A 16,882-nucleotide genomic window follows, 5' to 3' on the forward strand; every position below is an offset into this window, starting at 1 on the left:
AAATCCATGAAATTTACTTGAGTTGTAATTTTGCCACTCAGAATTTTAAATCATAGTTTTCTTTTTGGATACATTGATTCAAAGCCTGTAAGAGATACATGATTCTTTTCACATAGTCATAGATCTCTGGTTCCCTGCCAAACCTTCAGCTGAGAATTTAAAGCACTAAGGTTGTTGTTTTGGTTTTTGTAATCTCTCCAGTCCAGGCAGAAATAGCCAAGCCTCTCAAAGACTTTGTAATTCTCTATTCTGTTATAATGTTCTATTGAAACAGTCATTTGTTTTCCCAGTGCTTATTCTTCAGTTTAGGAAACTATCGATGATCATTTAAGAAGCTGTTTTGGCTCTGAAAATGATTAACTATCATGATCCTATCACTCATTATTAATGACATTACCTTCTTTAAATCTAATCAAGGCAGGCAAACAATTGTAGATAACCATCTCTGAGGGTCTACAATCACTTCTGGTACATAATTCTGTAACATACTAAAACCCTTAGTAATATTTCAAGCAGAAAGGGAATTAACATTGGATATAGTCATTTTCTAAAACTGTTGGCAGGGTTATGGAAGTAAAGGTCAGGAAAGCCACTGCCAGCCTTCCAGAAATAAAGGCATTTGGGTTTCATAGGGAAGTAATACACAAATTCTCAGCTGCCTAGAGTACACCTGAAAGCCACTGGTAATACTTTACCCCTGCCTTCTGACAAAGCCCACATGCCTGCTCTCTGCTATCTGAGCAGTGACAACTCCTCCTTCTTTACTGCTATCCATATCTTTTATGTGTGCTTTTCATTTTGCAGAACATAAAGTTGAACCTAACTAGCAAAGGATTCTTGGAAATGTAGCATTCAAGCTTCTAACCCATACAGTGCACAGGAGTGTAGATGGCAGGGGAAGTGGTGGTGAATGGCTAACCGTCTGACACATTTGATCCATAAATGTCTTTGTCCTATTGATTAAATATTATTTGCATTATTTTTACTTGTTTTTTTTTTTTACCATATGGAGATTTAAAAAGTATTAACTCCTTTATTCATCTCTTCCTTAATATTGTATTAAGACCATATGATACTTCTCTAGCTAGAGCAGAGAATGTTCTCAGCTGATTTCAACAATTTTACCAGGACATATGATGAGAGATATAAGGAAATCAAATCAACAATTACCACATTTTACTAACCTCATAACTTCAATCCAGTTGCTTGTGGTCTGTAATGTCCAATTTTCTCTTTGAATGAGTTGATTTGATTATATCAGGATGAATCAGTACCAGTAATATATAAAATTTGTAAATTTCTAAAGTGATTACTCATAAAATAAGGATCTGGAAAAAAGACGGGAGTTTACTACTGTGAATAATTGTTTTGCTTTTTGATTAACTTACGAATTTAGCCTTTGGTTTGCATAATCACAACTGTAGGATCCTCATTCCTACCTCCCCAGGTGGGCCAATCCTCTTGGGATAAGTTAAAGTACAGCAGCAGTTTGCCTAAATTGCTTTTGATTTAAGACCACCTCTATACAGGACATCTGGAAAGCAAGATTATGTGTTCTCCCAACCCAGGACTTTCTCCTAGCAATAATTCCAAAGAGTAATGATGACTAAGAAAACATCTGCATAATACATGACCTATTGCAACTTAAGCAGAGTCAGTGAGAAATGCAATAGGCAGGTTGGCAATAACCAGAAACTGTCTCTTGCACAGAAGCTCAAGTTACACTTTTTAAATATAATATCATTCTTATCTTTAGCACCTCATTTTTGTTTGTGGTATACACATCTCCAAATTCCTTCCTAGGTCATTTGTAAGGACAAGCTAGCAAGATCACTCATGGGTTTCATGCCTATTTAATATTTATACTATTGGAATCTGGTTTTGTCATTAAAATGTTGCAAATGTAAGTAGAGTCCTTACTAGTGTAACATTGGGGTGGAATATATGCAGTGCAAACCCACTTCTATCCTCTCTTCCTCTTGGACAGACTTTAGGACCCAGTGTTGTTGAATTTCCCTTTCTGTGTGGTACCTGGAGTATAAATATACTGCAATTTTGCCCTCATTTTTTTGTCTGTCTCTGTAGAAGTTCTTAGTGATTTCACATATCTCCCTGAAATATTCCCTTCTCCTATAAATAAATATTTTATCTAAATTCCTTCTGTAATAAAAATTTCTCACCTTACAGCATCTTTTGGTAATTCTTGCATTGCATCTTTGACTTACAGGGTTCTTAGTGCTTACATACATATACATTACTATTCATCCATATACAACAATGCTTATAGTTAAAATATTCATTTGATCAATAAATTAGAATCTACTTCTTTAACCTTGTTTTTATAATCTAAGTTCAATAGCTCAAATCCTGATTCTACGTAAGTAGAATAAGTCTTACTTTTAAAGTAAGTAATTCAAGTAATTATTCTTTTGGATATATATCTTTACATGACTTGGATTTTTCTTATTTTGTTTTTATGTTTTAATCTCCCTAATTACATTTTTTTCAGATTTTTCTGGAAATAAAAATTAAAGCTGTAATTATGAAATCCTCACATAAAATTGATTGGCTAGGTAGCTATTAAAAAAAATTAGTACCTGTGCTATGGCTTTTTCTTTCAAACAAAACAATATTGTTTTAATGATTTGAGCCTAGTAGTACCATTCTTCATGTTGTTATGAGTCAACACCAGGGTATTGAAATTATAAAGAAAGATCATTATTAAGCTTGATATAAACTCAAAGCCTAAAATCCCTGTCAGAAATTGAGTCACCTTCCTGCTCAAGCAGTGAGGGTAATTCACCATCATCTAAAATATGGTTGAATAAAGAAAGATTTATCTTGATTAGTATTTAACTGCTCTTTTCCATAAGGTAACCTACAACAAGATGTTTGGCTCCAATTATCAGGGTGGAAATTGCTTATGCAAATCAATGTAAGGCAATGAGGTGTGGATAAAAAGCAAAAAGGAAATATCATTATTATTGGTTTGTGCTCATAAAATTCTGATAGCCTGAAGGTAATGACAGGCACAAAGCCATAGGGATTATTAGTAGCAACAACATACTCAATAACTTGTGTTCCAATGTGGTGTTATGTGGTAACATGTGTATGCAGGATTTTTAGTTGAAAACTGCAGGCTTACATTTGTGAGAGAGTGTTTTGTCCCTTACATGTAGGTTTTCAGATAAGTAAAAAGTCAGAAAATCATAGAGGAGCAGAGACAGTATGTCAAAGTTAATTTTCTTTCTGAAGAGATAATATTGTGTTTTTATCCAGATGGCAGCTGAATCATACTCAATCTAAAATGAATGACCATAGAAGCTTTTGCTCAAATGTCTCCTAGTTTTGCTTAAAATGCTGTGCAGTTTTAGATATGCTATCGGTAAAAAGGTTAATAACTTGAAAATAATTTGATGTGTTCAATGTCATATGATAATAATGTTATCATTACTAATTTTTTAATTATTGGATTTGACTTAATTGGCATTTAATTTATTAATGACCTAACTATAACGGAAAATTAATGAGCATGTTATAGAGAAAGAAATATTTAAGTTTGAGAAAAGATTTGATGGATTTCAGAATTAAAAATTCCATCTTTAATACAAACAAATACTTTAAAAAAAGTAAATAGCATTCTGTATTCATATTTCTGGATCAGAGAGAAATAACTTTTATTCATCAATTTTTAAAATATATAGCCACTGATTGAATCTTTATTATTTTGCTTCTAATTTAAAGGTTGTTAACCGACCAATGTGGCTATATAATATTAACTAAAAAACTCGTATTTTTAGAGATATATATCTCTATTTAATAATCCTGCAGGCATTTGTCTAGCTCAACAGGAGGCCTCATAAATTTATATTTATTGGTTATCTTTTATCTATTAGTTAAGGGCTCAAGATGTATTACATATTAGCTAATCGGGTTGATATTATAAAATGACTTTTTGGTTATTTAAATGTATCTATGAAATTATTAGACATATTTAGTTGATGTATGGATGTATCTGTATGTTAGTATGTGTAAATCTGTAATTACAGATGCCAGTCTGTAATTATGCCAATTACAGATGCCGATTACAGATGCCAATCTGTAATTATGGACATACCTGCTAAAAACTGTCTCTGACTCTTTGTACACATTGCCATTTGGTTAAAGTGCTAGTTCAGTAGTACAATAAACTTGCCTTACAGGCATTTTTCTGTAACCTACTTAGCTTCTGCATCAGCAGTTTTCTTTCTTTTCCTTTTAAAATTTATTTTTCTTTTTATTTTATGTTCTATTTTTGGAAAGTGCATGTAATAGCCTAGAACTATATATTTGGAAAGGTTACAAAAAATTCCTCCTAATTTAAAAATATTTCTCCTCATTTACTAATATTTTTATAATTGCTTGACATGATTCTGTTACATAGCTTAGTTTAATACTAGTAATATGACGTAGGGGTACCATAATATATTTCGCTTTGTCCATGTTTGTGAGCATTTACTTTGGTGTCTAATTTTTGTTAAATAACACTCTAATAATCTTTACATTGTTGATTTTTTCCATTATATTTTCAACTATCTCTTCATATATATTTTTAGGAGCATAGTATCAATATTTTCTCCAAAATGTTAAACTAGTGTATAATGCTAGAAGTTTGAAAGTTCTCTGTTTATACTACACTAAGTAAACAGGATTCTTATAAATTTTCAAAATAAATTTCTTACTAATTTAGCAAGTAAAAAACTTTTTCCATTATTTCAGTGTATACATTATATCATAAATGAGACTATGAAATATTTTAATACATTCTCTGCTTGCATTTCACTCTTTTCATTTATTCTTTTATAACATTTATCCATGTGTCTTATGCATTAAAATTGAGGTCTTATTCTCTTTTTAGTAACTTTATATAGTTATAAAATAAAAGTAACAAACTATAACATATTTACTACAAACTATTTTTCCTCTATATTTAATATGTCAAAATTATTGTTATGAAAAAATACGTTACAAATTAGTGGCTTAGGAGTGTTGCAAAGACTTAAGTTACATGTTTTGAACCTGGTTTACAAAAGATTCATATGCATCCAAAATTCTCTTTTGGTCTACCTCTGTATTTTTGTTTATGGAAGAGAGAGCTTCATGTTAGCATGGCACACAAAGAAATGGTAGTACCCATTTGTTACACTGAATCTAATTTTCTTTTCCAATCGGTCTCCTGTATTCACCTTCTCTCTTCTGCTCAAGGTTTCTCCCTATGATTATTTTACTGATCATTTTCTTTTCCATTTAAGAACAATAACACATATAAGTGTTAAAAAGTCATTTCTTAATGTTTTGTGCTAACAAAACAAAATTATAATTTATCTTCCTGTACCAGCTTTGCTTAGTTTTGTATATACAGTTCACATACCCCACCATTTGACATGTCCAGTCATTCATTTATTCCACATGTATTTATTATGCATCTAGTCTATGTCAGACATCATGATAAGTACCAAGTATTCAGGGCATGGTCCTGAATACACAGCGGATATGGTCCCTGTTCTCATGTATCATGTAACAGGATAAAGGGGACACACGATAGATAGGAAAAAACAAATAAATATATTTTTTTGCTCAATGTGAAAAAAATGCTAGGAAGCAAAAAATAGGATGCTGTGAGAAAGCATAGTGAGTGGGTGGTTGGAGCAACTCTAGATCGGGTGTTTAGGGAATCCTTCTTGAGAAGACGGTAGGTATGCTGAGGTCTGAAGGAAGAAAGACGGGGGTCAGGGAGATTCCAAGAAGAGGGAGGAGCCCTACAAAGGGTTAAGACAAGAACTGAGCATGTTTTAGGAAAAGAAAGAAACTGGTGGATGAGTAGAGTTAGTAAGAACAAGAGGTAGGTGAGGTGAGCAGCAGCCAACCATGCATTGCCCAATAGTCTGTGCTAAGAAGATTCCATATTATTCCAAGTGCTGTATTAAACGGTTTTAAACTGGATATGACATGGCTCTATTTACATACAGAACAGTTCTCTGGCTAATTGTAATAATACCCTGGGATTGGGGCAGTCAGCATACCAAGAAAGGGATTGGGCAAAAAAAGTGAGGAGGATATTTTTATATTCAGGTAAGAGATTATCAAGGCTTAAATGGTTCATAGAAATAGAGACATAGATGGATCTGAAATGTTTTTTAATGGTCGAATACAATGGGCCTAGGGATAAATTCGGTGAAGAGAGTGGTATGCGAGATGAGGAAGAGAATGTAATCAAGAATGATTCTGAGGTTTCTGGGATGAGGACCTGGAAACACGCCTTGAACAACTGTAACAACTGGAGGTTAAGAGAAAAGGAGGAGCCCATGGAGGTGACTGAGATGGAACAGCTAGAGAGGCAGGCAGAGTACCAAGGGAATCGTGTCACAAATGCTTAGAGAAGAGCTTGTTTCAAGAACAAGAAAGTGGCCAACAATGTTAAATGGAGTAACAAGGTGGAGAAGGGTAACGACTGTAAACTGTTCCTTTTGGTAGCCTGTAAATTCATTGATTTCAGTGGAGTAGGTTAAAGAGTGAATGGGAATGTGGAAATGGAAACAGAGTATGTAGAATAAAATTAAACAAATTTTTCAAGGAAGGAGATAAGAAAAACAGGGTCAGTTGTTAGAGGGGGATAAAGGCTAAGGAAGATTTTTGTTTTATTTTTAAAGATTAGAGGGAGCTGTAATGGTTTTAAGCTGGCAGAGAAAGGAGATGATAATGTTGGAGAAGTGAGAAATAACTCCAGGACCTTGCTCATTGAGAAGGTGAGGCACTTGTCTTTAATAGGAGACTTATCTCCAGTAAATTTGGAAAGCTGGCAATGGGGAAATCAGAGAAATCCTTTCTGATGATTTATATTTTTTCAGTGTTTTTTGAGAGAAGGTCAGTAGCTGAATGAAAGTGAGATGAGAGTGGGAAGTGGAGAAATTTGAAAATAGAGAATTCAAAGAGTAGAAAGGTACTTTCTGACAGTTTTGAGTTTCTATTTGTATTTGGTGATTATGAATTTATCATAAGCTCAGCTTTTCAATGGCATGATTTTCTTCTGTGATATTCAGCTGTATGATTACAGGTTTAGAGAAGATAAATACTTGGATTCCTCCAGGATTGGGATTTTTGCCAAGCTACTATAATTGAAGGACAGTACAACAAAAAAGATGAGGCTTTTTTCTAGGATTTGATTAAGATGATCTATGAAATCTAATCTGGATACTCAGGGAAGAGAAGACAGGAAGAATCTGATAGACAAATAACCCACCATTAATAATAATAACAGTAAGATTAGTGTCTTTATTGCATTAGTGCCAGCTTGGGTAAGTCTCTTTTGTGCTGAGTCGAATTAGTGTGCCCATTCCATGAACTGCCCATCAGGGGTCTTGTCATCTCAGTAGAGCTCAGTGAAAGACAGGCTGCTAGACCCCACAACTTGGAAGAACTGTCCAAAACCCATTACTTTCCTGTATTTGGAAGGAAGTCTTCTAAGCAGCTTTCCAGAAGCCTAAAGGAAGCTTTGTTCTTAATTTTTCTTTTCTTTTTCTACCGCTCCACCACACCCCCCACCCCACCCAGGCAATTTCCTCCTTCAGGTTAGTACATATAATTTTCTTTTCTTTCCTTTCCTTTCGTCTCCTCTCCTCTCCTCTTCTCTGTTCTTTTCTTTTCCTTCTTTTTTTTTTTTTTTTTATTTGGAGTTTCGCTCTTGTCACCCAGGCTGGAGTACAATGGTACAACCTCAACGCACTGCAACTTCTGCCTCCTGGGTTCAAGCCATCTCCTGCCTCAGCCTCCTGAGTAGCTGGGATTACAGGTGGCTGCCACCTCACCTGGCTAATTTTTGTATTTTTAGTAGAGATGGGGTTTCACCACGTTGGCCAGGCTGGTCTCGAACTCCTGACCTCAGGTGATTCATGCGCTTCGGCCTCCCAAAGTGCCAGGATTACAGGAGTGAGCCACCGCTCCCGGCCAAGTCCATATAATTTTCTTATAGTGTTTCTAGAACATTTTGGCTTCTCTTGGAGGGAAGATTGAAGAAGACTTTTGACACCAGCCCTTTTTTTCCCATTTATCTTGCTATTAAAATAACTGAAGTTTCTTGGATTCTTTATGTGGCTGGTATTTTTCTAAGTCGTTTATTTGTTTTATATCATTTTCTCTGCATACCCTTATCAGGTAAGCACTACATTATGTACATTTTTCAGTTGAAGAAATTAAGGTTTAGAGAAAATAGATACTTTATCCAAGATCACATGACTGGTAGGAATCAGCATGGGTTAATAACTATACCTAGTTTATATATATCTTCTTTCTCAACTAAATTACATTTCTTCCCAAGTTGTCACCAGCACCGGGGCTGAGAGAGCGAAGAGGTGGGAGAGGGAACTCTGTGTACATGCCTGCAATCAGTGGGCAACTTGATTTACAAGAAGCAGTCCATTTTTACCAGCCAGGATGTAATTTATCTATTTTGGGAGTGAATGGTGATCAAAGCCCTTGATCAGGATATTCAGAAAAAGCAATTCACAAATTTCATTTTTACCAATAGATTCACTTTATGTCTCAGTAATATTTCATACCAGCAGCAAAAGTGAGAGGTAGAAATATTTTAGAACCCCAGAACTCCTCTATAGACTATGACACTTACATTATTTCACTGACAGGTGTAGGACCCTGTCACCTTGTTCTGGAATGGCATACAAATCCTACAGTGGAAATATTGTAACTCTGGTCATGTGCCTGCATGTTGAGGAATTGGTGGTATGATCTATAATTACAACATAGGAGATATTTGAAAACAAAAGTGATGTGAGAAGATGCCATTGTCTGTAATTTAAAGCAAACAAGCAAGAAAAACTTTCATGAGCTGGCAGGTTGTTTTGATTTACAATGTTGTGATGTTCTACTACATTTAGCAGCCACTTATAAAAATATACTTATTCTTACAAAATTTACATTGATTGGGTGGAGTAATGGATTTGTATAACATGTAAAATGCCTTTTTTGTTCCTAGCAAACTATCTGAATACTCCCATATCTAAGCAAGCCACTTCTAAAGGTAAATTTAGGGTAAACACATTTACAAATTCAGTCAGAATGGTATACAAACCATGAAAACTGACTTTCAACTATCCTTCTTCTATCTCTCCAATAGCTTTCTTTCCTAAATCTGTCATCTCTTTCTTTCTTTTCATGTCCAGTGGCTTGAACTGCTATACCTCAAAAAGTTTAGTAATGGTTCTTATTATACTGGAGTTATGTCTTGGAAACCTAATATAATTTAATAATAAAGGTTTCAATAATTATACCTTTTCATCTTTGACTCTTATCTAATAGAATTAAAATATAAACATTATTTTTTAATCTTTGCATAAAGCTTTCTTAGGGATTTGTTACTCATTTTTACTTAATCTTAAAATTTCCATCAATTTCTAGGTATGAATCCACATAGACACCTTGGTCTATAGTCTAGCTTTCTTTGTTTAAGTTGGTCATCTGTCACTGTTGTAGTCTCCTTGCTCCTGTTTCTCAAGGTTAGGGAATGTGAAAACATCCTCTGAAGTGCATGGGCCAGGCTTCAAATGGGTTTTATTCAACTCTTGTGTGACTTTGCTGTGATCTGATACTTTTAGTCTACTTTTGTTGTTGTTTATGGATCCCTTTAAGATCATCTTACTCTAATAATGCACATACTTACAAATGTATAAGCTCAGAACTTACGGTTCTCAGTTCAAAAGCCCCTGCTTTGGAAGCTTTGTTTAAGACAAAAACTGTTGCTTTTTAAAATGTTTTTGTTGTTGTCACTCTGTCTGCCCCCCAGTCTATAGAACCTTCTGCACTTTATTTCAGTTTTAATCTTTCTCTCCAACATTCTTGTCTGCTTTTAAAACATAAAAATTAAATATACATGTCTTTCACGCCATATCTACTGTTCATAAGAACAACAAAAGCCTAACTGATGTACTAAATAGAATTTAGTGTTCTTTAGTTTTTATTTTGTATAAGTTGTAGGCAATAGTTTAATTTCTTACTACGGGTTGCCAAGATAATGTAGAAGTGTCTTCCTTCATTTTGCTTAACCCATTAGGGTTGTATTATGCAAGCAACAGAAACAAATTCTGGTTAAATCAGGCAGAAAGGAAATTATCTGAAGGATATAGGTAGCCCATTGAATCATTGGGAAGGATGAAGAACCAGGCTTACAAAATAGAATAAGAACTAAAGTAGACTCAGAAATCAAGAGATGTAGCCAAGGTTATGCCACAGGAGTGAAGGTTTAGCTGTTCCCATTAGAGTGGCTACCACAGGACCCTCAGTGTCACCATGACAGGCACTACTCTTTTAGGATTCATAGTCCTAGGACGAAGCATCCCCTTGTCTGAGGCCAGAGCACATGCCCAGGCTTTAGCTGCCAGGCAAAGTGGAGAGGGAATATTTAGTATTTTGTCCCTTCCATTTCAGTAGAGGGAGGCAGAGATTTTGCCTTCTTCCCAGATTCCATTGTGAGTGATTGCCCCCGTATAAAACTGGTATTTAAATGCTGGAAAGCCAAAAAAATGACAAATGCACACTACAAATTTTTTTGAGGTACAATTATTCTTGATAGAAAGCAACAATATTTCAAACTCTTGCTTCAGCCTTCTTGTCACATCTTCAGAAAAATCAGTGCTTGAATTTACCTAGCATTTCCAGACTAGTCTTACAACTATAGGACATCCTACTTCCCAGTGTCAATGAGTCCCAGGCTGCTGTACCCTGTCTCACTGGAGAAAGCACTATTGGTGGTGGTCTCCCTATACCTAGTTGTCCTCTCTTTTTTATTAGCTGAATTCTGATTTTTTTCTTTTAAGTTCTCACCCTGTTATAAACAGCCATATTCTTTAGAGGACTATGTCTTTCCTTGGGTAAAGTTCAAACAATGCCTCCTTAAGATGCAGTAACAGATTCTTGCTAGAGCACATGGTGCAATGTTGACAGATGACAAATGTGGGAAATTTGCTGCAGAATTTGAGGGGAAGTTTTCCTGATTCCTTAAAGGAGGTTCTCAGGAAGAAATTCTGTATCTTTCCTCTGTACAATGTCACATCTGAATATGATGCTTGGGATTGCTGCTGCCATCTAGCCATGAACCTGAGAAGCCAAATCATAGATGGGGTGGGACCAAAATAATTCCAGAAGAAAGTGGCTGCAGCTCTGTCCTACCTACTTATGATAGGAAAGAATAAATACTCCTATTTTAAAAGTCATTCTAGGGTGGATGTTTATTACTTGCAGCTAAACACATGTAAATGAATCCATATGGTTTTTATGGAATCATCCCTTTATGTCTCAAGGAGTAAACCATTTATGTGGTTAATCCTCTATCCTAGCATGCTAAAAGACTCATTAATAGGAAAGCAATTATTCCATAATTATTTCCATGTAAATCTTAAAAGATAATAGTGCTTTACTTCCTTAACTCACTCTTTACTTTTCCCCTTGTCTTTATTAGTCCTGTTGGCTTTTACACATGACATGTTATGAAGCACATCACTTGTTAGCAAATGAAATAAAACAAAAATGGTCTCGTATGTAATCATTCACAATTTTTGGTGACATTATATGCAATCGCATATATCCATTCAAGTTATATGCCTGACAAGTATATACTGAAATAATGAATTATGTCCTGTATTAATATTTAAATATGATATTTTGGGGGATCCTGACAGATATAAGTAATCTATGCTTACTGCATTGTCAGTTATCAACAGAAACAAATATTGCAAAAAGAAAGACAAATCACACACACACACACACACATACATGCTCTTATTACTGCATTTTAAATACATATATATGGAGAGAGAGGACAGGGAGAGAGAGGAGAGAGAGAGAGAGAGAGAAAGCACCTATTGTGTACCAGACTGGGCACAAAGATGTTGGTTAAATAGTGGTAAACAAGACTGGCAGGATCATTACTCTCACGGATTTTACAGGCTGTGTGAACAGTCAAACTAATAAACAGGCACCTATGACACAGTGGGATAAATGCTATTATATAGAACATTGTGTGACAATATAAAAGAGATATTTAACTTAGGAAGGAGGTTGAAGTGGATGGGGAATGATTCCTGGAGGAAATGCATCAAAATTGAGTCCTGGAAATTGAATTGAATTGAGGTAGGCAAAGGAGAAAAGAATATGTAGAGAATTGCATGTGCAGAGAACCAGAAATGAGATAAAATATCCATTAGGCATCTTCAGAAAGCTGAAAGTGGCTAAATTAATGCAGGGAGCAACAAGTTAACAAATGGGATTTGAGAAATACAGAGGGACAAGATTATGAGGGCCATTTTTAGGTTATATTAAGGAGTTTGGACTATATTCTGAACATAGCAGGGATTTATGTGTGTATTTGATCAAAAATATTCTGGCTTTGTGGGAGAGACTAGATGTGAAAGGGACAAATCAGAAGCAAGGGCAGCTGTCATCACCCATGTAAGATTCTGTAGAGTAGACAAACAGGTAAGGGAAAGTGGGAATCTTGGAGTATATTTAGGTCATGGATTATTAATTGAATATGGTGGAAAGGGTGATCAAGGCATCAAGATAACCCTTTGCTAGAGGTGGATGAGAAGGTCTTCACTGGAGAAGGGCCACCAAAAGGAGCCAATATAGGGGAGGATAATGAGTTCAGTTTTTAATAGGACTCAGTTATCTATGTGGCTAATAGGACTCAGTTATCTATGTGGCTTGGATATCTTGGATATTGGATTTGGGTAGGCACAGGCATGGGGTTTGGATGTAGGCTGAAGACTCTGAGTTCCAATGTTCTGATTTCTTAAATGATGATAATAATGTCTACCTCTAATGTGTTGTGTGGATTGAATGAGATAAAATATAAGGCAACTCGCACAGTGTTAAAAAGGAGACAAATATTACGGTTTTCATGTGCTGTGCTCTTTCATTATTATTGATAATGATGCATTTCCTTCTCAGTTACTCAGTTTTCCAACCTATAGCCTGAGATTATTAAAAAGATTACCAGAGAGAATGCCCACTGAATATTTATGATGTGCTAGGCACTATTCATTCTTTTAACACTGTATATTGAATCATTCAATTCTCAGAAAAAATATATACAGTAGTTATTTTATTATCCCCATTGTTATATATGTGAAGATAGGCACAAAGAGTTAAACAGCTTTCTAAAGCTCATATAGCTAGTGAATGTTGGACCTTGTGTTTGAACCAAGGCAGGCTCTTGTTACTGCATTTTAAACCACTATGCTATGATACCTCTCTCCATAGGCAGATGTAATATATTCTTGTTAAATAGAGTTTTAACTTTTAATCAGTCTATATTATTTGGTATGTCTCTTAAGAATATTCTGGTGATTATCTTTATTTGATTCCTTACAATAACTCTATTATTTCTGAAATACCTAGTATAGAGAAACCACAATTCTTTTTAAGTTAATATTAAAACATTCTTCTATTTTATATCATAATGTCAAATCTGCTGAAGACTGACTTTTATACACATAAATGTAAACTTAGATTTCCATTTCAGATTTATATCTCTAAGGACTTTCATATTCACTGACTTAGAGGTTTGAAAAGAACTTAAAATATTTTTATTCAATGAGATACTAAATGTGATTTCATCTTGCCAAGTGGTTATTATACCAAGACTTCTATAGCTTCAGTCATGGAAATCTCCCTACACAAATCACATCTCAGTATTTGTAGTTGTTCTCAGTAACCTTTTCTTCACCATTGTTTCCCCTGTACTAGAAAGTTACCTGAACACACTAAGTGCTCCATAAATTTTGTGGAATTAATGAAAAAAAATAGATGACTGATTATTGAAACGCACTCATTATCCTTTAAGTTTCTTTATAATTCTGCAGAATTTTCTTAATTCAAGCTGTAAGTTTATGCAAGCTTTCTCTTTTAAAAAAGGGAAACTTTAAAAAAAGTTGGCACATGTAAAATTCCAATAACGTCTGAATATTAGGGTTACTGAGAGTTCAAGAAGATATGTTATCTTCCCTGAATACAGAGACAGGCAAGTTGGAAATTGCTTATGTCTGGATAATTTTCATTTCAGCCTGCTTGAAGTGGAAACTTGAACCTTTCTCTAAACTGAGGAGGGAAGAAATAGTTCAAACTGATGATACTAGGACAAGGTCAACTCATATTATGAATAGTTAGACTTTTATGATCTTTGAGAAGAAAATTGTATATTGGATTTTATAGTATTCCTTTATTTCCACTTTGCTGAATTAGCCTAGCAGCACTACCCATAAACAGAACCTAAGAGTAAAGAGTTCTAATATTAGCACCTTTTATTATTACATCACTAAAATAAAATGCAAGTTAGGCCTGGTGGCTAAGGCCTGTAATCGCAACCCTTTGGCAGGCCATGGAGGGAGACTAGCTCGAGCCCAGGAGCTCAAGGCCAGCATGGGCCACATAATGGAATCCTGTTGCTACAAAAAATTAAAAAAAAACAGCTGGATGTGGTGGTGTGTGCACCTGCAGTCCTAGCTACTGAGGAGGCTGAGGAAGGAGGATCACTTGAGCCTGGGAGGTAAAGGCTGCAGTGAGCCGTGATCATACTACTACACTCCAGCCTGAGTGACAGAGTGAGATCTTGTCTCAAATAAAAAATTAAAAAATAAAATAAAATGCACATTTATATTTTGTAAATCTTATTCCCAAATTTATTCATTTAAGTGCAAAAAAGCATAAAGAATAATTTTGAAAGTTAAATCTGAAATAGTTAAATCCTGGTCTCTGGGTTCATGTTGAAAAACCTCATATGGAATGTTCAAAGCCAAATTAGGATTCAGAATGGTTATTCAGGGTTATGTTTTTTAACAAAGTTATTCATAACACCTGATGGCAATGATGAATTTGTGGTTGCTAAGTTAGTGTTGGACATTGCATCTCTAGGCATCTGATTAAGTGGGAGTTGCCATTTGCTGTGCTGTGAGTTGCCAACAAAAGCTGAACCTGTCACAGGTGTTACAATTTGTATTTCAGAAACTTTGCTTCCCCCAAGTTTAATTATCCCCAGAGTAGCCAACTCCATAAAAGTACTGAAGGAGTCAGCATTTTTCTTTTCAGTACTTTGATATAATTTAGGATTTTGTCTACTATATATATGTTGCAGAGATAATGGAATTTCAAATGAACGAGGAGGGACTTTTACAATATAACACTATTTTCATATTCATATTTCTGTTTTGAAATCAGAAAAAATAATGCAAACCAGCCATAACTAAATAGCACATTGATGAGACAAACCATGCTTCTTAGAGGAGAACAAAGTGTGAATCGGATAGAAAGTGTATAGGTTTTACCACTAATAACTAAACATTAAAAATGGCAAGTCCTAAGGCCCAAAATGTTAAATAAACTCAGGAATGACTTTTTCTTATCAAATATTAATGTGTGTTTCAAATCCATGGAAATAAGTATTTATCATTATTGTAATAGGCAGCCTTTCCTTTGCAGAGAGACCATTGAAATGGAGACAGATTGTGAAGAGAGTATTCTTTTGGCAAAGCAATCCCTCTTAACATCAGCATATATTAGCTCTTTCTTTTTTTCATAAAATATTTCTTTTTCAACACTTTAACGCAAAAGCCTGATGGGAAAGTTTCTCTAAATATTTCATTGAAGAGGTAGTGTTTTCAGAATTGACTGAGGTTGACTTGCTCAATTAGAGAAAGATCTTTGACTCTGAATATCTGTAAGAAGTTATTATAGTTATGAAAATGATTTTTAAGAGATTAATATTGTTCGACGACTTAATTAGGAAATATTCTATAGTTAAATCTCTTTGGAATATTTTTAAATGAGATTATTTATCTTTTTTATGTCCTTTTTTATTAATATAATTCCAACAAATGAAAATTATTAATTGAGAAATAAATGTGTTTACTAGTTACTGTTTAACCTTTGAATTACAATTACAATTTTATATTCTTGTAGGATTATTTAACCATTCATAAGTATGGTAATGCAGCCAGAAATGATCTCTGGAATACATTATCGGAGGTAAAGTATAGGAAGCTTAAATATCAAAACCTCTACTTGAATATTTGAATTGCATTTATAAGACATTCATAGCCTTTATTGACACCTGATAGTTTGTTTTTACTTTTTACATTTTTCATTTGTTCATATTGATTTTTTGTTTTATATAATATATTGTAAAATAAAGGGGTTTAAAACTAAACTACAAATGGTAGTAAATGATACCTCACCTACTTTCAAACATGACAATACTTCTGAAATATAAGTTTAACATGGTGTAAGATATTCATGTTAAAAAAAAATTGAAGTTTTAAATAATTTTTTCTATAGGTCAGATATTTAAATGTGACACTAGACATGATGGGAATAATTACTGATGCTTCAGGGATTTGCTTTAATAATAACATTTATTTTATGTTATGTAAAAACTTTAATGTTAATACAACTTTCATTTTTATATACATTTATGAAGCTTAACTTAGGGCAAGAAGATTAATTTCACTAACACATTATATTGGCTTCAATGACTTTAAATGTTTTCATATTTAGGTAAATAGTAAAAATAGAAATAAAAATGTCTTAATGTTAATAATGTTGATAATTCATGTTTATAAAACTAATTTGTACATTTTTCCTTGTGAAGGCTTTAAAAAGAAATGGGAAATATGTAAATATACAAGAAGTAATGGATCAGTGGACACTCCAGATGGGTTATCCTGTTATCACCATCTTGGGAAACACAACAGCAGAAAATAGAATAATAATTACCCAACAGCATTTTATCTATGATATCAGTGCTAAAACTAAAGCACTTAAACTTCAGAATAACAGGTAT

The 16,882-nt window shown here is 34.2% G+C and overlaps 1 protein-coding gene across 5 annotated transcripts in view; it reads left to right on the forward strand.

Moving 5' to 3' along the window:
- Positions 1–16,882, forward strand: part of TRHDE (thyrotropin releasing hormone degrading enzyme) — a 583,493-nt gene that overhangs the window by 458,897 nt on the left and 107,714 nt on the right. For all 5 annotated transcript variants that reach the window (XM_017019244.2, NM_013381.3, XM_017019243.3 and 2 more), the window contains 2 exons: positions 16,003–16,068; positions 16,691–16,878. In XM_017019244.2, coding sequence (XP_016874733.1) covers positions 16,003–16,068; positions 16,691–16,878 — 254 coding nt within the window. The remainder of the gene's footprint in view (positions 1–16,002; positions 16,069–16,690; positions 16,879–16,882) is intronic.

This window comes from Homo sapiens, chromosome 12 (assembly GCF_000001405.40).
Source record: "Homo sapiens chromosome 12, GRCh38.p14 Primary Assembly".
NCBI lineage: Eukaryota > Metazoa > Chordata > Mammalia > Primates > Hominidae > Homo > Homo sapiens.